This window comes from Homo sapiens, chromosome 7 (assembly GCF_000001405.40).
Source record: "Homo sapiens chromosome 7, GRCh38.p14 Primary Assembly".
Taxonomy (NCBI): domain Eukaryota; kingdom Metazoa; phylum Chordata; class Mammalia; order Primates; family Hominidae; genus Homo; species Homo sapiens.
This window is the reverse complement of record NC_000007.14, coordinates 138,884,704-138,910,599: the sequence shown is the minus strand read 5'-3', so window position 1 is coordinate 138,910,599 and position 25,896 is coordinate 138,884,704. Positions and strand designations below refer to the sequence as shown.

At 43.2% G+C, this 25,896-nt stretch overlaps 1 protein-coding gene across 2 annotated transcripts in view; it reads left to right on the top strand.

The window, feature by feature from the left end:
• KIAA1549 overlaps nt 1-25,896 on the top strand; it is a 150,009-nt gene that overhangs the window by 70,790 nt on the left and 53,323 nt on the right. For both annotated transcript variants that reach the window (NM_020910.3, NM_001164665.2), the window contains exons 5-10: nt 1,479-1,609; nt 3,498-3,681; nt 5,519-5,578; nt 6,864-7,012; nt 11,468-11,645; nt 16,074-16,258. In NM_020910.3, the coding sequence (NP_065961.2) occupies nt 1,479-1,609; nt 3,498-3,681; nt 5,519-5,578; nt 6,864-7,012; nt 11,468-11,645; nt 16,074-16,258 (887 nt within the window). The remainder of the gene's footprint in view (nt 1-1,478; nt 1,610-3,497; nt 3,682-5,518; nt 5,579-6,863; nt 7,013-11,467; nt 11,646-16,073; nt 16,259-25,896) is intronic.

Here is a 25,896-nt window from a genome sequence, read left to right as displayed (position 1 = left end):
ATGGCGAAACCTCATCTCTACTAAAAATACAAAAATTAGCCAGATATGGTGGCATACGCCTGTAATCCCAGTGACTTGGGTGGCTGGGGCAGGAGAATCACTTGAACCCAGGAGGTGGAGACTGCAGTGAGACGAGATCGTGCCACTGCACTCCAGCTTGGACAACAGAGTGAGACCCTATCTCAAAAAAAAAAAAAAAAAAGAATTTAAGAAACATTATGTTTTGTAGAGATGGGGTCTTCCTAAGTTGCCCAGACTGGTGTTGAACTCCTGGGCTCAAGCGATCCTCCTGTCTTGGCCTCCCAAAGTGCTGGGATTACGGGTGTGAGCTACCACACCTGACCTTATTATTTAACTTTTAAAAGTGTTTATAATTATGGGAAATTTCAAGCATGTACAAAAGTACGTAGAATAGTTTAACAGACCACTGTGTACTCATATGTCTTCAACCACTTTTCCGTTCCTAGCCAGTCTTGTTATAGCCACACCCCCATCTACTATCTACTTCCCCTCCTCTTGTACTATTTTAAAGTAAATCTCAGGCATCGTATCATCTCGCCCACACATATTTCAGCCTATATAGCCTCTAAAAGATAAAGACTTTAAACATGTATATGAAGTTAACAGTGATTTCTTTTCTTTTCTTTTTTTTGGAGCTGGAGTCTTGCTTTGTTGCTCAGGCTAGAGTGCAATGGCGCGATCTCTGCTCACTGCAACCTTTGCCTCCCGGGCTCAGGCAATTCTCTTGCCTGAGCCTCCTGAGTGGCTGGGATTACAAGCACCCACCACCATGTCCGGCTAATTTTTGTATTTTTAGTAGAGATGGGGTTTCACCATGTTGGCCAGGCTGGTTTCGAACTCCTGATCTCAAATGATCTGCCCGCCTCAGCCTCCCAAAGTGCTGGAATTACAGGCGTGAGCCGCTGTACCTGGCTGTTAACAGTAATTTCTAAATATCATATTTAACTTTTCATTGTGGACATGTTCAAACATTTACAAAAGTAGAGAGAGTACTAAGTCTACATATACCCATGGTTAAGCTTAAAAAAAATTTATCAACATCACCAATTTTGTTTCATCTATCCCCTGTGAACGTTTTTGTGGACACTAGAGTGTTTTCAAGCAATGCCAGGTATCATGTCATTTCACCCATAAATATTCAAGAATTCATCTACAATGAATTTATATATGTTTGAAATGTTTCCATCCATTGTGTCTTTTGATACTCAAATTCTTATCTTAGATATTTTTCATTTTAAAATGATACCAGTCACCGTCACATTGCATGTCTTCATTTACTGCAAAGTTACCTTTTACATTTCCGTGAGAAAATACGTAGAAATGTTACATCACAGTACTTAATCCCATACTATGGATGAATTGGTTGATTTAGATACGATGTTTCTCTCTCTTGATTCCTTAATACTTCAGAAGCACAAACACCTCATTTATGGGACTTTGATTGCTTTTCTTTTCAGTACTTCAGTTTGTGCCTCCGAGTGTGGATACTGGCTTCTGCAACTTCACCCAGCGCATTGAGAAAGGCCTAATGACAGCTCTCTTTGAAGTGAGAAAACACCACCAGGGAACGTATAACCTCACGGTGCAGGTGAGAATATCACTGAATGCAGAGCAGAAGGCTTTAGCCCTTGAAGGGGAAATTGTTCCACATTGTTTAAGATGTGCTTAACTCTTATTCCCTCCAGTGGCGGAAACCCAGTTTATGTGAGTCGGGATTGATCTATTCCTGTGGCGTAAGGTCGGCATAGCGTGCACAGGCTGAGCATCTTTGAGGGTTGCAGAGTAGCTGATACCCAGGGAGCTCAGATATGGTGAGCTGAAGAAACATGACCATATTCAGGAAATTCAAGAATTACCTAGAAAGGAATGGTATCAACCTAAATATCCAATGGGGGAATGCCTACCCATACTGTTGTTTCCATATAGCTACTAAGAACGGGTGTTGTACGTATCATATGGAAACTGCTGATGTTTTTATGTTTCTTTGATTTTTTTCCCTCTACATTCTTTCCTCTCTCTTTCCAAAATGGATGTTAAAATAGATTTTGGTGCTCCTGGATCCACTTTCCATGTTTCTTATTTTTTCCTCATATTTTCCATCTCTTTATTCTCTGTTTTTACAGATTTACTAAATGTCGTCCTCCAAGTCATGAATTTAGTCCTTAGCTGTGTCCATTATGTTATGCAATCCCTCTACTGAATTTTTAAGCTTTTTGTTCATTGTTCTTTGCTCCATTTTCATTGTAGGCTTTCCTGCGATGATGCAGTGTCACCTTAAAAGTCTCTGAGGACGTTAATTAGAATTGTTAAAATGCGTCTTCTGTTTCCTAAGTCATTCCTGTTTTCTCTGCAGTCCTTGCTCTGCATGTTGATCTCGGTGCTTTGCTTTCGTGCTGTTAGTTTCTGTAAATCTGGAGACTGTTGGTTTGTTGTTAGGAATGAAGAACCAAGTTGTTCATTTTAGTAGCTGGCACAGCTTTCCCCTTGAGCTGTGGGGATCTCTTTCTACGTCAGCTCCATCTCCTGGTGGGAAAATTCGTCGGAGCGCTGGGTCTGGGGCAGAATATGTCAGCGTGGGCTTCTCTCTGGGTGCAGTGTGTGGTCAGAGACAAGCAGACAGGGAACACCCTCCTTCCAGCATCTAGATAAAGAGGTTCTTCCTAGGGGATGGGGCACTTTAGTGTGTGTCTCAGGGCAGAGCTAGCTGCGTTTTCATTCATTTTCTTTCCTTCTTCGGTGTGCACAGGAGTTATCTTAGCCTCTGCCCACCTTCTTGGTTAGGGCCCAGACCCACCATAGTCCTCTTAGGCAGGAGTTTGTTTTCCTCAGGAGGCAGTCTTGTTCTGGGTGAGGGCCTGGCTGCTGCTAGCACCTCTGTTGGCCTGGGTGTGGCAGTTAGGAAGGACGGAGGAGGAAGGCAATACACTCAGCTCTTTGGCACAGCCTTGTAATTAATTATACTGATTACCACTGTGTAGCCTGCTCTTGGTCTCATTCCTGCTGATCTCTGCCACAGAGCCCCTCCTGGTCCTCTTGGAGAGCGTGGCCCTTGGCTCTGCTGCAGCCCATGCTTGTGTATGTTTTGGATTCTGGCTTTCTCTGTTCTGGTTTATATCAATCCAATCCCATCCTTTCTTCATCCCCCAGAGGTTTGACGGAATCTCTAGTTTTCTTCCATTCTCAGTGCTGTTGTGGATTTATTCCCCTGTGTTCAGCTTATTGTTATTTCAGTGGCATTTGGGGTGGGAGGAGCTGTACATGTGCTCAGTTCATCACTTAATGTAAGAAACATTTTCCATAAACTGAGCAGTTAAACTCTTACAAAAGGGAACCAGGTTAGAAAGCCAGTTACGTTTCCTTTAAAAACTTTACCTCCTTTAAAAAAATCGGTGAGAGGACCTGTGAGAGAGAAATCATGGTTAAGCTTTCAGCAGAATGTTTTATTATAGAAGCTTATTCTGACTTTATTCTTTCAGATCTTGAATATCACCATCAGTTCCTCAAGGGTGACTCCTCGGCGGGGCCCGGTGAATATCATCTTTGCGGTTAAAAGCACACAGGGATTTTTGAATGGGTCGGAAGTGAGCGAGCTGCTCAGAAACTTGAGTGTGGTGGAGTTCAGTTTCTATCTGGGATACCCAGTGCTGCAGATCGCAGAGCGTGAGTACAGCCCTCTTGGACATGCTGGGGAGGTGATGGCGGGCATTTTTGGTGGAAGACCTCTTCTTAAAATTTTTTTAGTTTTTTAAAAGACTTGATTTTTTAAAAATTATTTTTCCATAAGGCGTTGGGGTACAGGTGGTATTTGGTTGCACGAGTAAGTTATTTAGTGGTGATTTTTGAGATCCTGGTGCACCCATCACCCGAGCAGTATACACTGCTCCACATTTGTAGTCTTTTATCCCTCCTCCCGCCACTCTTCCCCCCAAGTCTCCAAAGTCCATTGTATCATTCTTATGCCTTTGTGTCCTCATAGCTTAGCTCCCACATATCAGTGAGAACATACGATGTTTGGTTTTCCATTCCTGAATTATTTCACTTAGAATAATAGTAAAAGACTTGAGTTTTTTTAGTGAAGTTTTTGGATTCACAGCAGATATGATCGGAGAGTTCACAGATTTCCCATATACCTCCTGCTTCCGCACATTCATAACCTCCATTATCAGCATCCCCCAGCACAGTGGCCCATTTGTTACAGTGATCAACCTGCATTGGTTGATCCTGCATCATTGGTTGAACCTGCATCATCATCCATAGCCCATAGTTTACATTAAGGTTCACCCTGGGTGTCGTGCATTCTGTGGGTTTGAACAAATGTGTAATGACATGCAAATGGCATGGATTCTCCATTTTAGTATCATACAGAGTATTTTCACCTGGACCACTTTTTTCAAATGAAATATCTGATTTGAGTGCCAGAATATAAATCTGATAAAACTGGATTCAGGCCAGATGGGTCTGCAGAGCCCTGCTCACCCACCGTGCCTGACTTTATTATTTGGAGAGTAAAGGGGTGCTATCAAAAAGTACACGAATTCTGGAAAAGGCATAATTTAGGGAGGACGAATCTGTGGTTGTCAGAGCTTAAGGGCCGCAGGAAAGTTTGACTACAAAAGGGTAGCAGAAGGCAGTGTTTTGGGGGTTGTGAAACTGTTCTATATCTTCATTGTGGTGATGATTATGTGAATATATACACATTTATCAAAACCCATAAAACTGTATACTGAAAAGAGTGACATTTACTGTGTAAATTTTAAAATAAAAACAATAAGTGAAAACATGAAACCTTTCTTCCTGACTGAAGCAACTAGCTTCACAATGCCAATGGAGGCAGTGGGGGAAAGGGGAGACGTTTATTTAAAAAAAAAAAATAGTAGATTCCAGAGTTGAAATCAGGCCAAAAAATTCCAATTCTTTTTCAAAATGAAACAACCAAATGGCCTAATGATTCGTAGTGTATTTTAGTGTATTGTTAATTAAACTAAAAAGAATAACTTTACAGAAGTTATTCTATATGAAAGTAGACAGAGATAAAGCTGTTATTTACAAAGAGCCGCTTTCAGTTGTGCTCAGTGTGTGTATGGCTAAAATGAGGATGCCGGACGGCGGGGCACACTGGCTGGTCCTGGGCAGGTCAACGCATGTGGTCACTTTACCCTGAGACCTTGCTGGGAAAGCCAGGGCTCTGAGGGGCACGGTGTGAACATGGATTGCTGTGGAACAGTGACATTCAAAGGAGAACTTGCCGGTGACCTCTCTGTGAAGCAGTGTCCTGTGACATAGCTGGAGCGGCCCTTCTTTTCTTTTTATCTCTCTCTTTTTCCTTGAGACTAATGTGTTCAGAAATGGCTACTGTCCACGTCCTCACGCTAATCTGACATTTTGTTCTTTCACATTTAGAGCTAAATAGTAAAGACGATGTGTTGGGACTTTGTTGTAAACATGGCTTTGTTTTTACAGATATTTTTCTCCTTCCCTAATTCTTTCCCTTTTGTAGCCTTCCAGTATCCACAGCTCAACTTATCTCAGTTGCTGAAGTCCTCTTGGGTCAGAACAGGTATGTTTAACTTATGTAATATTTTGGGAACTGTAAGGAGAAGAAGTCTATGCAGGCGTATTGAGAATGATGCTGCCTTTCTTGTTTCCTAAATTTAGGGCAAAATGTACCTTACATTCTTGGCAAAGAATGAATGGAAAGGGATTCAAATTTGGCTGTGGGAATATATCCCACTGAGTTATAGAACAAAAAGGACTGACTTTCTTTAAAATTCATACATCAAGTTCAGGGCAGAGTCTAACAGGAACTGACAATCTTCTGACCCAGAATAGGGTGAGGTTTAGAAGCAAGGATCTCTCTCTTGTTTTATTTTTTTTTTTCTAAAAGTGTTATTTGTTTAGTTTAATAAGGACAAGCAGGGTGGCTTGGCACCTGGGAAGCTTTTTTTTTTTTTTTTTTTGTCTTAGGGGAGTGGGTCAGATATTTAGAGGTATGGCATTGCAGTTGAAGGCCTTTCTAACCTAGTGCACAAAAGTCTGAACAGTACTTACGTACTCACCAGCTGTCCAGTGTGCATGCAGCACAGGAACTAGCTGGGCACGAGAGAGCATGTGGGGTAGTGATAGTTGCCATTCACGGGGTTCCTGCATCTTGCAAGTTCTCCTTGCCGAACACACAGCATCCCACGTCAAGGTCCTATCGCTTTGCATGGTGCCATCCGCGGTCTTTTCCAGATAATTTCTATAGCAATTAAGTAACTTGCCCATGGTTGTATCTCAAAGAAAACTTAAACCAGTTCTGGTTGAAAAGCACATGCTCCTTCCTCCCAGACCACACTGGCAAGTGATTGTCTGTTGAGATCATCTTGTCTGAAATAGATAACTAAAGATGGGCAGGCTTCCTTTTTTCAAGTTAGTTTGTGAGTCCAAGTCTCAAGGCAAGACAATGAACTCACACCAATTCCAGAAGTGTTGAGATAAGTGCAGACAAAATGTTTGATCTTGCGTAGGCGCCCTTTGCGCCAAAGCTCCTGCAGTGCTGAGTTCCTGGGACTTCTGGCCGCCAGTCTGGGTAACACTGAGAGCTTGGAGCTCTTGTGGGCTGCATTTCCTGGACTCTCCCCATTCATGATCACTTTTTCTCCTTTTGATGTTTTCTGTCTAGGAATTGGCATTTTATGGCAATCTTGCATTAATTTCAAATACATATGTGCGCGCGCGCGCGCGCGCACACACACACACACACACACACACACACACACACACACACACACACACACACACACACACTGTTTTTTTACTGCTGACTTGTTTTGGGTGCCACGTATGTTTTCATTTAAATGTAGTTCTCCTGGGCGTCATGGAGAAGCAACTCCAGAATGAAGTGTTTCAAGCCGAGATGGAACGCAAGCTGGCCCAGCTGCTCAGCGAGGTTTCCACCAGAAGGCGGATGTGGAGAAGGGCCACTGTAGCTGCAGGGAACAGTGTGGTGCAGGTACTCCACATCAAAGGAGGAGGGGAAGGAGAGAGAGGGAGAGAGACAGCGCTTGCGTGTGAGTGCACACTCCATCTAAAACCCTGTATTTTTATGCAAATGAGAAGTGCCATGAGAAATTTCTGATTTCCACTGATCGCTATATTGGGTAGCCACTGAATCTGGCAGCTTTTCAGTTCAACTGGAGTCTAGACAAATATTTACCAAGCCCATAGTAAGTAGTAGTATAACAATAGACCTTGCAGAGCAGAGCAGAATTGTCTTACTGGGTTGCCATATCATCACAGGACCTCATTTATCAAATAGTAGTTTTTAATTAACAAAAATGTAGCCTGTTTGATAGAATGGTCAGTGTTATTGATAGCATCATAGCGATAAATCATTCAACTGGAAGAGACCATAGGAGAGCAGATAGAGGGAGACGTGCTGCCCTCTGCTTGAGCATTTCATCTTCTCGGCTTCCATGGTATTATGGAGTCATCACTTTGGTTAACATTTTCAATTTCATTTTAAAATTTATTTTCTGAGCAAAATCGCCTCTCTCTAGAAATTACATAGCCAATTAGAGAAATTTTGAAAAACACATTAAAAAATGTGTAAAGAATAAAGTGAACATCACCTAAAATTCAACCAACCAAAGAAGATCACTGTAAACATTTCAGCATATTTCCTTCCATTCTTTTTTCCCCATGAATTCTCTATTAACCTTTGGATGACACTGCATACATCCTTTTGTAGCCTCTCTTCACTTGAGCTTTTTTCTTTCTTTCTTTTTTCTTGAGACAGAGTCTCGCTCTGTCGCCCAGGCTGGACTGCAGTGGCATGATCTCAGCTCACTACAACATCTGCCTCCCAGGTGCAAGCGACTCTTTTGCCTCAGCCTCCTGAGTAGCTGGTACTACAGGTACCCGCCACCGGAGACACCTGGTTGTCTCATATTATCCTAAATCTTCTTTACTTGGTAAACTGGCAGACAGGTTACAAAAGACAGATTTGTTTGAATTGAAATGCGACCCATTTAAAAATGCCCATACTCACAGAAAGTTGGAGGTTGGGGCTGTCATTAATTTCCATCTCCATATGAATTATGTGGATTTTTTTCTTTACCAACTGCTGACTTGTTGAACTATGAAAATGGGATATTTAGAGCTATGACATTTCAGAAACAGGAAACCAGGGTAGAACTCTGAAGCAGGGGGTGTTGGCTGGCAGGCAGGGTAGGGAGGTGGGTGGATTAGAGGCATTAGAGAAAAAGACGCAAATGACATTGGCTGTGGGTTGGGGGCAGGAGCCGGGAAGTGTTGCCTAGAACTGCATCATCGTCCTCTAGCCCTTTTACCAGTGTGTCCCTCTCATCATTACCCTTTGTCCCCCTCCCAGAAATGTAGTCCTTAGGTTTCTAAAATAGTTCCTTTGCCAGATGCAGTAAGTTACAGAGAAATTTAAAAACTAATCACAATTGAGAGTAATCATTAAACGAATAAGTATCAACAAAGAATAAAAATTAGAATGAATTATAAAAGCTTTGCCTTATTCAACAATCCCTGGCTTCCTAGAGCCCAAGGTCTAGGTGTGAGTTAACTTCTGCACATGAAATAGTTATAGGACACCGTGAAAGTATAATACAGTGCTAAATTTGACATGCAAGCTCTCTTAGTAGGCATGCAGGTTTGTAAAAGTGGCACATCCAGGCTAATGTGCCATCTGATAGATTGCTTATAAGCCATGCTCTGCTTCTCCTCCCCTTAGAGTGACCAAACATGAAGATGTAGACAAGGATTTGTGTACAGTGTTACATGGCTGTTTATCAAAACTTAATTTGTAAAAGTGAAAATGTTGAAACAACTACATGTCCAGCAATTGGGGAATGGGTAAATAAAATTATAGTAAATCTTTATGTGTTGGAATTTTATGCAGTCATTTAAAAAAAAATTAGTGAGTGGTATAGAAAAATGCTCAAGTGGGCTGGGTGCAGTGGCTCACACCTCTAATCCCAGCACTTTGGGAGGCCGAGCAGGTGGATCACTTGAGGCCAGGAGTTCAAGACCAGCCTGGCCAACATGGTGAAACCTCATCTCTACTAAAAACACAAAAATTATCTGGGCATGGTGGTGTGTGCCTGTAATCCCACCTCTTCAGGAGGCTGAGGCATGAGAATCACTTGAACCCGGGAGGTGGAGGTTTCAGTGAGCTAAGATCACACCAATGCACTCCAGCCTCGGGGACAGAGTGAGACTCTGTCTCAAAAAAAAAAAAAAAAATAAAACTCAAGAGAGGCTACAAAAGTATGTATGCCATGTAATCCAAATGTTAATACAGAATTCATGGAGAAAGAATAGAAGGAAAATGCTAAAATGTTTACAGTGATTTTCTTTGGTTGGTTGAATTTTAGGTGATTTTCATTTTCTTTATATATATTTTTTGCATGTGTTTTTCAACTTTAATTGGCTGTGTAATTTCTAGAGAGATGTGATTTTGCTCAGAAAATAAATTTTGAAATTGAAAATGTTAACCAAAGTGATGATGACTCCCATGGTTATAAGGGTTCCAGATAGGAATCTCATAGGCAGTAGTCTAGAAAGGATACTGGGATTAGATTTTCTTGGCTTACATTCTGCCTGGACATCTTAGTCCATTGATGTTGCCGTAAAGGAATACCTGAGGCTGGGTTTGTAAAGAAAAGAGGTTTATTTGGCTCATGGTTCTTCAGGCTATACAAAAAGCATGGTGCTGGTGTCATGGCGAGGGCCGCAGGCTGCTTCCCCTCTTGCTGGAAGGCGAAGGGAAGCCAGTATAAAAATCACATGGCGAGAGAGGAAGCGAGAGAGAGGGAAGGGAGGTGCCAGGCCCTTTCTAACACCAGCTCTCTCAGGAACTAGTAGAGCAAGAACTCATTACCTCGAGGACAGCACCAAACCATTCATGAGGGATCTGCTCCATGACTCAGATACCTCCCATTAGGCTCCCCCACCACCATCGGGGATCACATTTCAACCAGAGAGTTGGAGGGGGTCCAACATCCAAACTGTAGCACTAGACAGACTTGTAGAATCTTTAATCAAGGTGGGTATCACTGGATTTTGGGGACTGTGATTTCTAGAAGAAGAAACTATACTTTTTAAATTTATTAGAACTTTTAAAATGGAATAAGTAGGTACATGGGTAGAGAGACAGATGGATATAATCTACTTCCTTTTCAGTAGCCCTTGCATAGCATTCCATTCTAAAAGCTAATAAAAAATTAATCACCACTGTACCGTTGTCAGGGAGGGAGTTCTCAGGACGAAGCATAAAGAACAGATTGTTGAGGGAAGAGGGTTTGGACGTGTGTTGTTAAGGATCTTTAGACACGATCTGGAAGAAGGAGTTCACAGTGAAATCGTGAAATTGCTGATCTGCCAGAAGTTTCCCGTGGTGAAGGAGGGGTCCAGCAGCTGTGTCCAGAGCACAGGGCAGTGTTACAAACCCATACGTGTGGACAGAGAAGTAGCAGCTGCATGTTGCCAATGGCAAATGTAGAGACCAGCAATTTAAATGGCACATGTAAAATAAGGAGCTCGGAGCCCTCGCTGATCCTTTTCTCAGGACAGAAGCTCAGAGTTTTGCTGGAGTCTAAAGGGGTAATCACATTGTTGCATATTATTAGAGAAATAGAGTGAAATGAAAAGGTACGATATGTCAAGTGTGCTAGATTTTGAAATAAGGGCATAAAAAACTGTCTTTTAACACCAGAAAGAGAGAAGTTTTGGGATGAATCAAAGTATTATTTGACCCACAAGATTATGAATTTATGAGGTTTATTGTCCATAGACCTGTGGTGGGTGGGGGTGATTTTGTCCTCCAGGGTGCATCTGGCAGTGTCTGGGGATGTTTTTGGTTGTAACTTGGGTGGTGCAGGATGGGGGTACCTGGTGGGTAGAGGGCAGGGATACTACTAACCATCTACAGTGCACCCCATGTCAAGGGATTGTCAGTAGAGCTGAGGTTGAGAAGCCCTGCCCTAGCAGAATGAGGAGGAAATACCAATAGGCTGAAGAAAGGATTGGGTAGAACCATTAATAGTTTCAGAGAACCAGGGATGTACCTAATCCTACAGTTAATGTTGGGAGGATGATGCTCTCTTATGACGTGGTCAGCACATCAGAGATTGTGGGGATGATTTTAGACCACCTGGACTCGCCAGCCCTGGTTCTGTGCAGCCTCCCTGCCCCTTGGCCCCAGAAAAGATGTAGAGCGAGATGAAGCAACCTGTTACTCCACACAAAGGAACTCCCCACTGTCCCTCTTCCCATCAACAGAGAGCACCATGGTGATTCTGGGCCCCTGAATGGCTTACGGAGCTTATTATGAGGATTGGAATAAATCCTGAGTGACACAGCCAGGATTCAGCAACCTGAGAGAGGGCATCTAGAAACATGAGCTTCTGCAATGTGAATGGTTTCTGCTATCTTTCAGGTGGTAAATGTGTCGAGGCTGGAGGGAGATGACAATCCGGTACAGCTCATCTACTTTGTGGAGGATCAAGATGGAGAAAGACTCAGTGCAGTCAAGTCTTCGGACCTGATTAACAAAATGGACCTCCAGAGAGCAGCCATCATCTTGGGTTACCGAATTCAAGGTGTCATTGCCCAGCGTAAGTGCCTGAGGTGTTGTCGTCTGTGCTGTGCTGTGCTGGGCACCAAAGCCAGGCTCGTTCTGACAGTGAGCTCTGAATGTAAAGCATTCCGATGTGTGTATAACCCTGATGGTGAAGTGCCAGTTGTTAAAATTCATTCACCAAGACCTTCTTTATTTGGATTTCAATTGCTTGTAGGTTTAGCCTCCACTGCTGTTTTTTCTACCTAGCATTTTGTAGGTGGGGTGTTAATAATGATTTATAGTACATCAACTTTAATATCTGTCCCTCATTCCTGTACTACTACTTTTTTTATAAATTTTGTCTAAGGCAAAATAATGTGTTTGCTCTGTATTTATTCCAAAATCTTCTGTGTCATATTTTGAACATTGGCGGGGACAGTGAGTCATGCAGGAAGCTGGGAGGTGCACCCTGAATTTATTGGTTTCCTTCAGGGTCTTTTAACACAGAGAAGTCCTTGATCCTTCCCCTTTTCAGTCCTGTTTCTCTCCCACCTATCCTCACGTCACTCCACAGTGTAGACAGAGGTATTTTGAAGTTTCTTTATTATTGTTGGAAGGTTTCACTCCTGCCTGCCTGGCCCTGGCTGCTGTCAGTAGTTTCCTTTCCACCTCACAGATTTGTTTGCTTTTTTTTTTTTTTTTTTGAGATGGAGTCTCACTCTGTCACCAGGCTGGAGTGCAGTGGTGTGATCTCGGCTCACTGCAACCTCTGCCTCCCGGGTTCAAGTGATTCTCCTGCCTCAGCCTCCCAAGTAGCTGGGACTACAGGAGCACACCACCATGCCCAGCTAATTTTTGTATTATTAGTGGAGACGGGGTTTCACCATGTTGGCCCGGATGGTCTCGATCTCTTGACCTTGTGATCTGCCTGCCTTGGCCTCCCAAAGTGCTGGGATTACTGCAGGTGTGAGCCACTGCACCCGGCCCCACCTCACAGATTTTGAGTATTTAAAATTGAAGAAAAAGGAGGCACATGGAAGAGTGTATTTTTCTAAATAGTCCTTTACGGTGTGAATCAGATTCCTCTTTTTTTTTTTTTTTTTTTTTTTTTTTTTTTGAGAAAGGGTCTTGCTCTGTCACCCAGGCTGGAGTGCAGTGGCTTGATCGTAGCTCACTGCAGCCTCAAACTCCTGGGCTCAGGTGATCCTCCTGCCTCAGCCTCCTGAGTAGCTAGGACCACAGTCACCACCACTACACCCAGCGATTTTTTCTTATTATCTGTAGAGACAGGGTCTTGCCATGTTGCCTAGGCTGGTCTTGAACCCCTGGCTCAAGCAATCCTCCCACCTTGACCTCCCAAGGTGTTGGAATCCCAACCATGAGCCACCACACCTCTTTTAATGTCAGTGTTTTTCCTTTGTGATCCTGCAAGCAGTCTTGGTAAGAGAATGGTGAAACTTGCTCCCAGCAATAAAAGGAGAGGTAAATGTTTAGAGGGAATTCAGCATCAGAGAATACAGAAAAATCTTTATGGAGAACATGTAGGAGATAAAGACAATTTTTAAAAAATGATAGCTTTTAAATTATCCTTGATAGTAGAAGGTTTTTATGAAATCTGTACTTGTCCCTGGAGACCAACCAAGATGAGAGCTGATGGGCATAATTTCTCTATTTTATGGAAGATGATGGGAGGGTTTAAGCAAATAACCATTGGCAATTTGTGTTTGTGTATGTGAGATATGATCACATATTGATGTGTTCTCCTCCAAAGCAGTGAGCAAAAAATAGCAAAAGCACTTCGTTACAGTTCTTCATATATGCGATTCCTGATTGTAGGAGACGTGCCCTACTCCAGCCAAGCACTTGACATTTTAAACAGCTAATTGCAATAGAATATGGGCACCTTTCAGATGTGATCTTGCACCTCTTTTCCTCAGTTTTGTACCGAAAACCACGTGGGTAAAGATCCTGGGATCTCAGGGATGGCGATTGAAGGAAGCCTCAGCCAACACCAGGGATAGCCCAAAGGCAGCCCCAGGACACTGGTGTCAGGGTCCAGTTTGATCAACCTCTGCCTCATCAGGGTTTTCCTAGGTTAGAGTAAGAAGAGGGCAGGTGTGGTGGCTCACACCTGTAATCTCAGCACTTTGGGAGATAGAGGCAGGAGGATCAGTTGAGCTCAGGAGTTCAAGACCAGCCTGGGAAACATAGCAAGACCCCATCTCTACAAATAATAATAATAATAAGCTAGCTGGGCATGGTGGGGCATGCCTGTGGTCCCAGTTACTTGGGGGGTCTGAGGCAGGAGGATCACCTGAGCCCAGGAGGTCGCGGCTGCAAGTGAGCTTGATTGTGCCACCACATTCTAGCCTGAGTGATAGAGTGAGACCCTATCTCAAAAAGAAAAAAAAAAAACAACCACACCCACAAAAGAACTAAGAAGAGTGTCCAGTTGTCTCAGCTTCTCAGTTTGATTCTGTCCGTACTTCTATATTGTCCGTTGCTTTTATGCAAAATGAGCTACATATATTAACTATATTCAGCCCAAATTAAAAAACACAAGTTTTTCACTTTGTTGCTTTTTACCACATCCCATGCAGCCTGTGCTCTAATCTGTGCTTTTTTCCCTGGTGCATTTGATTTAGAATGCTTGCTCCCTCCCTTGCCACTCCCTTAGGTGTCTAAACCCAAAGTTAAACCAGCACCAAGAACCCTTTTTGTTATTACGTCTTTGAGCAGATACCTTTTGATCCCATAGCAGGTGTTAACCATCATAGGGTATGAAAGGAGCATAAGACTTAGTCCCTGCCCATGAAAACTAAGATGTTTTTGAAAAGACAAGATTTGGCGTCAAGACCGGATGAATGAGTGCAGAAGCGTAGCACTTCACGGATTATCCATTTATATAACAGGAAGCATTTTAAATGAGCAGTAAGGCACCATGTGCAAAACAAAGAGCTAGTGAAGGACATGAAGTGGCCGAGGAGTTGAAGTGCAACTGTCCTATGCCGTGAAAGAGAAGTGGGGGCCGGGTGGGGTGGGTGTGGCAGCAGGGTGGGGAGTGGTGGATCCAAAATGAGTAAGATATGCTTCGTGTAAAAGTGGACAACTGGTAGCTTAAATAATGCCGTTTCGATGAGTCATGTTTCAAAGGTTTAGGGAGAGACACAGGTGGGGCAATGAAGGCAGTGCCTATGGGACGCTTATTAGGACTTCAGTTTCCAAATTAACACAGTGAAGCTTCATTTTGGAAAACATAAGGATCATCTTCCTTCTTTTTTTATTGCAGTAAAATATACATCAAGAAATGTACCAATTTAACACTTTTAAATGTATACTTCAGTGGCATTCAGTACGTTCACAAGGCTGTGTAACCATCACCACTATCCATTTCCAGAATTTCTTCATCATTCCAAGCAGAAGCTTTCTATGAGTTTTTTTCTAGATACCTCATGTAGGTAGAATCATACATTTTGTCCTTTTGTGACTGGCTTGTTCCATTATCATGATGTTTTCAAGGTTCATCTGTGCAGCAGCATGTATAGAATTTCCTTCCCTTTTAAAGCTGAATGATATTCCATTGTATGGCTATACTACATTTTGTTCATTCATTCATCTGTGGATGGGCATTTGAGTTCTTTTCATCTTTTAGGCTGTCGTGAATAGCGCTGCTACGAACATCAGCATCTCTTTGTCATTTTTCATTGCTGAAGGGGAAACGACCAGTTGCACTGGTGCACATGTCGTATCTCCTTACTCTGTTTTGCTTTGTGTTTGGCACTAGTGCAATATGAAATTATTCGGTGATTCATTTACTTGATCATTTCTCCTTTCCCCCACTAGGACTTAAGCACCTCAAGGGATTTCGCTTGTTCATGGTTGAGTCCCAGCTTACAAACTGTGTCCAGCACACTTAATAAACATTTGTGAACATGAGAAACTTGGAGTAGTGAGGGAAGGGAGAAAGAGATGAAGGGTTTTCTTCCATAAACTCCTAGTTGAGATGCATGTGCTTTATGTGATCTAGGAGGGTGTGAGTCCTGCGGTACTTGATGGAGCGGGCAGGATTATGTTCTGGAGACACAGCTGTTTTTCTCTCCACTTTTGAAGAGAACTGCCTTTGTACAAAGTTGTGCAGAACCAGTTTTGGTGTGGAAATATCCTGCAGTGATAAGTTACGGGTGAGCTAGTAGAATAAACTGGAAATCAGGAGACCTGGAATTAACTGAGCTTTGCCATTAATTCAGCCATGTACCTTTGGATATATCCATATGTCGTTGTGATCCCTGATGTATTCTAGATGTAACATTGTATGTTGTGTTTCTCTGCTGGTCACATTTCCTGTCATCAGGAGATTAGAACCTGGAACCAGCTATCTTGAGCTGGAATGTCAGGGACTTCTGAGTTTCTCATAGAAGACACGTGCAATCTAGTGCATGAGTGAAGAAGGAATTATTGAAAGACCTTTCTTCCTTGTCTGCAGCTGTCGACAGGGTGAAGAGGCCGTCTCCGGAATCCCAGAGCAACAACTTGTGGGTCATTGTTGGCGTGGTCATCCCAGTGCTGGTGGTGATGGTGATTGTTGTCATCCTCTACTGGAAACTATGCCGCACAGACAAGCTAGACTTTCAGCCTGACACTGTGGCCAACATTCAGCAGCGTCAGAAGGTAACGGGCAGCCTCTTCCCCCAGTGTTCCTATAAGCAGTTTTGTGGGGCAGGGATAGGATGAGTTTGGGCTCTTGATACTGAAAGATGAGGAAGAGGGAGGGCTATTATGGAAATCTTCTGGCTTTAATAGTGGTATCACTTTGCCTTTGTTTCTGCTTCCTGAAACCCTCCTTCTGTGGTAGTAAATACAGTCCAAGAATGTGAAACTGTATAAAAGCCTAGCCATGACATGCCCTCCGGGTTCTACTATGATTTTATTTTGTATTTTTTGAGACAGAGTCTGGCTCTGTCACCCAGGCTGGAGTGCAGTGGCGTGAGCTTGGCTCACTGCAGCCTCCGCCTCCTGGGTTCAAGCGATTCTCCTGCCTCGGTCTCCGAATAGCTGAGATTACAGGCGTGTGCCACCACACCTGGCCAGTGTTTGTATTTTTAGTAGAGACAGGGTTTTGCCATGTTGGCGAGGCTGGTCTCGAACTCCTGGCCTCAAAAGATCTGCCTGCCTTGGCCTCCCGAAGTGCTGGGATTACAGGCATGAGCCACCGCACCAGGCCGAATTCTGATTTATTTTATCCCTGGATATTTTCAGAGGATAGGAGCCAAGGCAGACTTTCTCAGATCTGTTTATCTATTTTGTGTACAACTCCATTGGTCAGTTGCTTTATTTTCTGTTCACCCTATTTGGAAGCCCACTTACCCACCTTGATCATTAAAAACGAACAATACATACCTTGAACATTTTAACTTAAAATATATGAATGGACATTTATTTGCCAATCCTTCAACATATCCCAAGTCTTGTTTTGTTTTGAGTGTTGGTCTACTGAGAGGAATTGTGTTTGGTCTTTCTTACAATAAACAACACCCATGACGTGTCAGTTTCAGGTTCCAGTTTGGGTTTCTTTAGAGAAGAGCAAAGCTACCTGAATGCAAAGTTCTCTCGATTTTTAATACCTCCCCCCACTCCCTATCTTAGAGAAGAGCAAAGCTACCTGAATGCAAAGTTCTCTCGATTTTTTTAATACCTCCCCCCACTCCCTATCTCCTAATTTTGCAGACTTTTGAGTTAATTCACTCACACCTAATTTGACAGCAGATTTTTTAAGTAACCCCTCTTTCCTATGTCTTTCCAAAGCATTCAACTTAAGTGTTTATAGAAATAGCAATTTTCTTTTCCAACGTATGTTTCAACAGTTTCCATAGTATTCGAGGGTCACATCAGGTTTCAGAGCAAAGACATTGACTTTTGGTCAACATTGAGCTCACCTGGTGTGAGCAAAAACATGCCAGGCCTAGAGGAGCACTCACTAGTACAGCATAAGTATCAGTCAGCGTGTTTACCAAGGGAGTGGAACGTGGTAGTCAGTCCACTGTTACTAACAGTCTGCTGGATTAACATGCACTTTCCGTGGGTCTCCCAGATTTGGAGGACTCATCCTGCTTTAAAAGCTTGATAAAAACAAGCAAAAGTCAAAAAACAAAGAATAAAAGATTGCCCTATTTATTTTTAAACTTTATTTTGGTTGTCTTGGGTATGAAAAATTCTGCATATTACAAACCTAGACCTGTCGAATGGAAAAAAAATATGCATTACTTTAAAATTTATTTTACTTTTGTAAAAGCAAAGAAAGAGTATTTGTCTTTTCATATGAATTAACAAAAAAATGCAAAGTATTTATTAAATTGCAAGCTTATGGCTATCAAGTACATGAAAAGCATTTTATACATTAATGTTATGTTTGTTGCCTATCTTTGTTTATTATTTACACAGTCTGCTAAGGTTCTTTTGTTGTTCTTGTTATACTGGTGAATGGCATGGGGAAACCTGGAAAAAAAGTGCTGGGTATACTAAATGATTCATAGTGTGAATTTCACTGTAATAAGATCAACAATAGGTTTGGAAATGTTTTTGTTCTGTTGAAGAGTGTTGTTACAGAGGGAGTTAACCAGTGTAGACGGTTATGTATTTAGGTCTTTTATGGGCCACATTTCCTAACGTATACACTGCCATGGAAGTCCATCTATTATCTGTAACTTCAGTAAATTATCAGAGCACAGCGTCTCTTGGGGTCAAAATGGAATATTCCCCAAGCTTTCTCCTTCTCTCACTTTTACTTCCTAAACATTTTCAAGTCCCAGATGTGGCTGTAAATCAAATGGACAGAGTTTCAGATGGAACTTCCAGCCCTTAGAGCTGCTCTTTTTCCTTCAGGGCTGCAAAGACCTGCCCATACATCCTGACAACAGGTTTACAGAAAAGGTCCTGCAGGGAGGATTCCCCAAAAGAATAACTGTCTTCTGACACTGTTAGGAGGGCAAAGCCTTGCCAGTGTTGCAGAAGCTCAGTCGTGTTTTGCTGGCACAGGAACCCACCCTATAGATTTTGTCGTGTGTTTAAAATGGGAAAATGATCTCTTCATTTAGTTTAAAAACAAATGTCTTTAGTTCATACGTGTTTCTTTTAAGGTCATGTGGCCATAGCAAAGGGCCTCTAGCCTCGTCCTCAGGGTAATGTGCAGAGATGTCACCCTCCCCTATGACTTCAAGAGCTCTGTCTCCTGCTCATGTGGCTGTTGTCTCTCTCTCCGTTCTGCTCTCCCCACCTCCTGATGCGCCTCACCATACTCTCGGAAATCCTTCAGCAAATCCCAGAGCTGCAAACATCTGGAAACAATAAATCTGCTGACCTAAAATCTGCACCCCCCTTCCCCTCGTAACGAGAAGGAAACCTCTTCAGATTGTCTGGGAGTAGATTAATTTTGAAATATGATAGGAGGGAGAGGCCATTCTGTCTTGTTTTGAGGCACAGCCTTTGCTTATTTTCAGTAATAAAGAAGAAAACCCCATGCTTTCTTTTATCTGTATTCTCTATCTGTAGACTCAAGTCATCATTTGTTACTGTTGCCTAAAAAACTCCAGCCCGGATCCTCTTCATCATGAATGGCATTGGCTGGATGCCACTGGCCTCATGGAAACTTATTCCTTCTGATGGGGGATAGTCCACACCTCGTTACTGGTGTCAGACCAGAGCTCCTGACTGCCCTTGGTTGCTTCTAAAGGGCAGCACTTTGGGCAACCGGCTGGAGCTGCCTCAGGCACTGGGTGTCACTCACCAAACATTGAGCATTTGCTGTGAGCCACACCAGATCCGGCTCAGTTACCAACACAAATAGCACGCGATCTCTGCATTCCAGGGCTTTAGCAAGGGAGAAGGACGAGCCATCCGAAAGCAGACATCCAGGAGTATAAGGATGTCTGGAGAACACAGAGGAGGGGGGCACCCCATTTGCAGTGGTGGGGTACTTCTACCTTCTTCAAGGAGGTGACACCAGGGCTGAAGCTTCACGGTGGAGATGAAGGCGGGCCCAGTGGGGGAGCGGAGGGCAGCTCAGGAAGCTAGAGCAAAGGTCATAAAAAAGGGCACAGCCGAAAGCCAGGTGGCAGAGAGCCAGGCCCTGGGGGGTTTTCAGGACATAGAAGGGATTGCAAATTATGCTGTAAGCAGTGGGCAAGCATTGAAAGGTTTTCAGCAGGGAGAGCAGCTTGAACACATTTGCTTTTGGAACGATCCCTTTGGGAGGCAGTATGGACAGTGAATTGAAAAGAGGCTCTGTGAGCATATCGTTCCATCTCAGCCAAGGTCAGCTCATTCCCTATGGTTGCTGTTTGATTCTCTGCAAAGGTCGCCTGTCACACCTAACGTGTAGGTGGTCTCAGTTCACCCACAGCTGGCTGACCGTGCCGGGTGTCACCTGTGGGTGGGAGAATCTGGGAGCCCTGCTCTCCCAAACTCCGGGACCACAGGGTTACGGGAGTGCCCGTGTGGGGCTGCACTGAAGACAAACAGATGGCAATAACTTTGCCTTGTCTCCACTTCCTAAATGGAAGCAGCATGGTGGTTGTGGTGACGTTTCACAAATGACATCAATCAGGTAATAAATGCTTTCAATGGCACTCGCTACATGATGGCAAATTTTTGTTCAGACACTTTTGGGATTTGCTCTGTGTTTCTATTGTCATCTCAACTCCTTCCCAGGGGCTCAGGCTAACCCGAATACTGTGGGCTTCACTGCGTTTTGTGCCACCTGGGCTGTACTGTATTTATGGCCCACGTGTTCACATTCATCAGGCGTCTCTCTCATTACTTGGCTGACCTGCCCACCAGTCAGTCTCCTGGGCTTGTTGGTGACGTATTCCGGTGGGGCACAGACACTGTGGCCTGTTCCCTCTGTGATATGTTAAAGAGAGAAAGAACAAAAGAGCCATCCTTCTTCAGAAATAACTCGGTCCTAATATGAATATTGAACACTCTCATTAATCTTGATTCTTCTTTTATAAAATACTGATTAAACCTATGCTGCATGTGGGAGGGAGCTGGAGACATTGTATACCAGCCAGACTGAACTCTAGGTTCTATTTTAAAAGAAGTGGAGAAACTAGAAAAAGTGATCTGGCAAGTAGAGATGAGACAAAAGAAGGTAATTATCTAAGGGAGGAGGGGCAGTGTTCCCTCTAGGTTTTCCTTCTGTGTGTAGATGGCTTTTGTTTTGTGCATAATACGCACAGACTGGTTGCCAAATTTCTATTGGTATAGAAGGTGATGACTCACTCAGTTTGTGAGAAGTGCAAGGATCTAATGGATGTATTTAAAGACTTTGGTCAGAATCAACAGTAAGCCAAGAGGACTTGTATATTTCATTTATGACACGTGCCGTTTTCTTGGTTACCCAGAAAAAAACCAGTCAGTTTGGTACTTCAGTTGAGCGTTTTGAAATTCATCTGGTCATCAGCTATTTCTTGAGGGACCCTGTGTCGCATCTTGTTGTTGACTTAACAAAATATTGTATCTAAATTCTTATTTATAACTCTGATGCCTTAGAATTCTTAGCTGTATATTAACTGCTCGATGTTTCATCAATCAACAGTAATAATAATGCTGTCAGCATCATTTGTAGGGTACTTTGGCATTTATGAAGCATTTTCATGAATACTGTCATGTTTCTTTCCTACATGGGCCCTGAGTGTACGTGAGGGAAGACATTTAGGTGCCTAGGCTTGGGCTACGTAGACCGCCCTATAGAGGCAATACTGTTTGTATTTTTACGTTGTTGACTTTGGAGACCTCCACTTAGGGGAGGCCATCTGTAGCTCCTTTTCCAGTTTTGGTAAAGCAAACCACCTAATTTGTTAAAAACAAAACAAAACAGTTGCCCAGTCATTAGAGGCATTCACTTTCTTAATGGGAAGTATACCAAAAAGGATTTCAGCAAGGTTTATTAAATGATGGAGGTGATGATTAAATGACTGTTTAGTATATCTGTTTTCTTTCGCTTAGAGGCACCTTGTATGTAGTTAAATGAAGTGCTGCTGGGGTAAAAGCAACCCCATAAAATTGGAAATCGCTCCTGTTAGGATTTTTATCATCAGCTGTGAATAAGTGGCATCCAATATCAATTTTCTCAGGCATCTGAAAAAGGCTTGACAGATGGACATTTGAGAATTATATAGATGGATTAGTATTTCATTTCAAGATGAAAATAATATTTATAATTATATATTTCATAAATTAGGACCGCATGTCAAAGTCTGAGAAAGGAATCATCTTAATCACACAGAATGGATTTTTTAATGTGCAGGAGGGTTACCTCTTAGCCTGCCTAATTTTTCATCTGCCCATACATACATCAATGATTTGCTTTCAAGAGAGCAGTTGAATCTTTGTGGAAATTTACAACAAAAGGAAAAAATATTCGACTAGTAAGTGTGGGGTTTAGAAAAGACACATAGATGATTGCTGTTAAGTACATTATGGTAGAATCCAAACGTGTTGCTGTGTAGTTGATCTAAATCCAGTAAGTACACAGGGACAACAAATAAACCAGCAGAGAAAGGGGTCATGGACCAGTGAACAAGTGACTTGCATTCAAGCAACCTGGACACAGATGTGCAGTATCCAGTAATCAATCATTTGAAAGAAGTGAACGAAAGTATCCTGCAAGTCTGAGTAATTGTGCGGGAAAGTATACAGTATTAACTCAGCTCTCCCTTATTTGTTCTTTTGAAGTTGTAATTTTGATCTTTCGGAAGTAAACATGGACCTTTTCACCCCTTTTTCCTTTTAATACAAAATATGTTGTTAAGACCCCAACTGAGTCCCCGTGGACAAGGGTGCCTGCCAGGCTTTCATTCCTGAGGATGGTGAGCTCACGGAAAGCATATGCATTGTGGCACCTTGGGTTTCCCACATGCTGCTGAACAGATCTTGAAGATTACAGTTGTCACATAGACAGATAAAGCACAGAGCCCTGCCATGAGTTTGTCCCCTGGATGAAATGAGACAATGCCCTTGGCATTTCTCACTGCCGTCCTCTTCCCTGTTCTCCTTGTATTCTTCTGCGGGAGTGAACTGTTCTTCAATGGCTGGGAGATGGTCGAGGGGAAGCTATGAAATAAAAACCTCACTGCTGCTGCTGCTGCTGCTGCCACCTCCTCTACAGAATATCTAAGTTCACAGTTTCCCAACGTGGAACGAATTGTCCTATTTCATGGCTGTATTTCTCTCTCAGTTCTTTAAGAGAGAAAGCAAACCATACCACAAATTTATTGTGCCTTGATTGACCAAGACCAGCATTTTGAATTGTGATTTTATTTGATGTTCCCGAGGTTTCTACATCTCTGGGCAGAGCACCGCAGGAAGCTGCTGCATGGATGACAGGCGGGCCTCTCTTCTGTAAAGTGGGAGGACTTGGGAAAGGGAAGGTGGGAGGGGGAGCCAGCATGCTGCCCGGACCACAGGCACATGCTGGACAGCTCTCAGGAAAATCACTAGTGTAGGGAGGACTTGTACAGAGGTGTGCATCTGGAATGATCCCTGTAAAAGGGCTGCCTGCTCCTAGAAAACTGTGTGTCTGCTCCCCGGGGTTTGGGTAGACCAGTTGAAACTCAGGGTGCTAGTCCATGGGTCACAGATGAGAAAATAAACGCATTTTATTTAAATACGTTTTAAATACATGTGTTTAAAGAAACATCTAATGATGAATTTATTTTATGTAAATAAATATTTAATAATTAATTTAAATAATTTACACAAGTGCTTAATAAATTTACTTTAAATAAATATTTAATAATAAATAGGCCAGGCGTGGTGGCTCATGCCTGTAATGCCAGCACTTTGGGAGGCTGAAGCAGGCGGATAACCTAAGGTCAGGAGTTTGAGACCAGCCTGGCCAACATGGTGAAACCCCATCTGTAATAAAAAAATATGTACATAAAAGTTAGCCAGACGTGGTGGTGCACGCCTGTAGTCCCAGCTAGTTGGGAGGCTGAGGCAGGAGAATTGCTTGAACCCAGGAGGTGGAGGTTGCAGTAAGCCGACATCATACCATTGTATTCCAGCCTGGGCAACAGAGTGAGACTCCATCTCAAAAAAAAATCATAATAAATACATTTACTTAAATAAATCATAATAAATACATTTATTTAAATAAATAATAATGGGCATGCAGTGGAACAACAGGTTTGGGTTTGTCATTTGCAAAAGGCTGAGGGGCTGTTATGCTCATGAACTGCTGAAGTGGTGGAGTGGTGTACTCCTGTAACAGGAGCTCTTTAATCAGAAAACAGGAAGTCAGCTTTTGCCTTTTGTTTCATTTTTGTAAATTGTGTTTACTGTAAGTTTTGTCCCCCTCTGCTGGCATAAATCATTATTGCAGATGACATTCCTTCTACCCATTGATCCGAGAATTTCAGCTTATAAAAGATCTTAAGGCCGGTCTCAGTGGCTCACGTCTGTAGTCCCAGCGCTTTGGGAAGCTGAGGCAGGAGGATTGCTTGAGCCCTGCAGTTCCAGATCAGCTGGGCAATGTAGCAAGATCCTGTCTCTACAAAAAAATTTTAAAATATTAGCCAGGCGTGATGGCACATGTCTGTGGTCCCAGCTCCTTGGGAGGCTCAGGTGGGAGGATTGCTTGGTCTTGGGAGATTGAGGCTGCAGTGAGCTGAGATTGTGCTACTGCACTCCAGCCTGGGTGACAGAGCGAGACCACATCAAATGAAAAAAAAAGACCTTAGGTCACAGACCTAAGCCACTGATGTTGTCACTCATTTGTGCATAAAGTTAGCACAAATAAGACAAAGCCTTTTGTTTCTGTGTGTAATATATTGTCTAAAATCACTCCTTAGATCTGTTTGGCCTTTGTCTTTTGACTGACAGGACTCTGTAGGGGTGTGTGTGTGAGTGGAAAAACTCGAACCATGTTTCTCCTCTGCTCTCACACCACACAACAGTCAACACAGGAGACTTCTGTGACCGAATTTGGGGGGGGGCTTTCCTCACACACCAAGCAGCAGTTATCAGCTGGGTGTCCTTGAATTCAGTTCCGACACTGTCCACTGGGAGGTAGCCTCAGATCCTACAGGTGGAGGGCTGAGTCCCCAAGACTGTCCTCCTCCACCCGCACCCATCACAAGTGTAGGTCTCCAGAACTTCTGACCGACTGGCTTCAAGTTGAGGTTCCCACCATCGCTTTTTGGGTTTGATTAATTTGCTAGAGCAGTTCACAGGACTTGGGGAAACACTTACTTTTGTTTACCAGTTTATCACAAAGGATATGTTAACAGAAAAACCAGACTCTGTAAAATATCTTAAAGAGGTTTATTCCAAGCCAGTATGAGTGACCATGGCCCTGAGAAAGCACGAGCCCAAGAAGCTGTGAGTAAATGGCCCAAGGCGGTCAGATTACAATTTGGGTTGATACGGTTGCCGTTGTGTCTGGCTGGGGCCATCGTTGTGGGTGGTAAAGGCCAAGACAGCTGCAGGTAAAGAAAGCCAGATTTATTAGAGAATGTATGAAGATAATGTTGCAAGGGTGCAGTGGCCAGCACAGCAGAGAAGGGGCTGTCGGGCAAGAGACGGGGGCAGGAGGGAAGTTTTATGGGTCATGCTGCTAGGGCTATGAGCAGAATGAGGTGTTTGGAAACAGGATGTCATGCCAGCAGGTTGTCTGTGATGAGCCATTTCTCAGAACAATTGTTCTGCCCTACGTGGGACCCCTTCCGCATTGTTACTTATCAGGACTCCACATATACATTTTTATTATTATTATTTTTTGAAACAGAGTTTTGTTCTTGTCCCCCTGGAGTACAATGGTGGATTACAATCCACCTGGAGTACAAGGCTGGAGTACAACGGTTCGATCTCAGCTCACCACAACCTCCGCCTCCCTGGTTCAAGCTATTCTCCTGCCTCAGCCTCCCGAGTAGCTGGGATTACAGGCACGTGCCACCACGCCCGTCTAATTTTGTATTTTTAGTAGAGATGAGGTTTCTCCATGTTGGTCAGGCTGGTCTCAAACTTCCGACCTTAGATGATCCACCCGGCTCAGCCTCCCAAAGTGTTGGGATTACAGGCGTAAGCCACTGTGCCCGGCCCTCCACATAAACATTTTAAGGAGACAGGAGTTACAGGAGAAGAAATAACCCAATACATAGAAGCTCGGCCTGAAAGGGCGGGATATCTTGAACTGAGGGGCTTACAAGTCATAGGTGTGTTTCAGGATTCTTTAGTTGGCAATTGGTTGAGAGAGTTAAGTTTTGTCTAAAGACCGAAAGTCACTTCAAAGGAATGCTTAAGTTAAGATA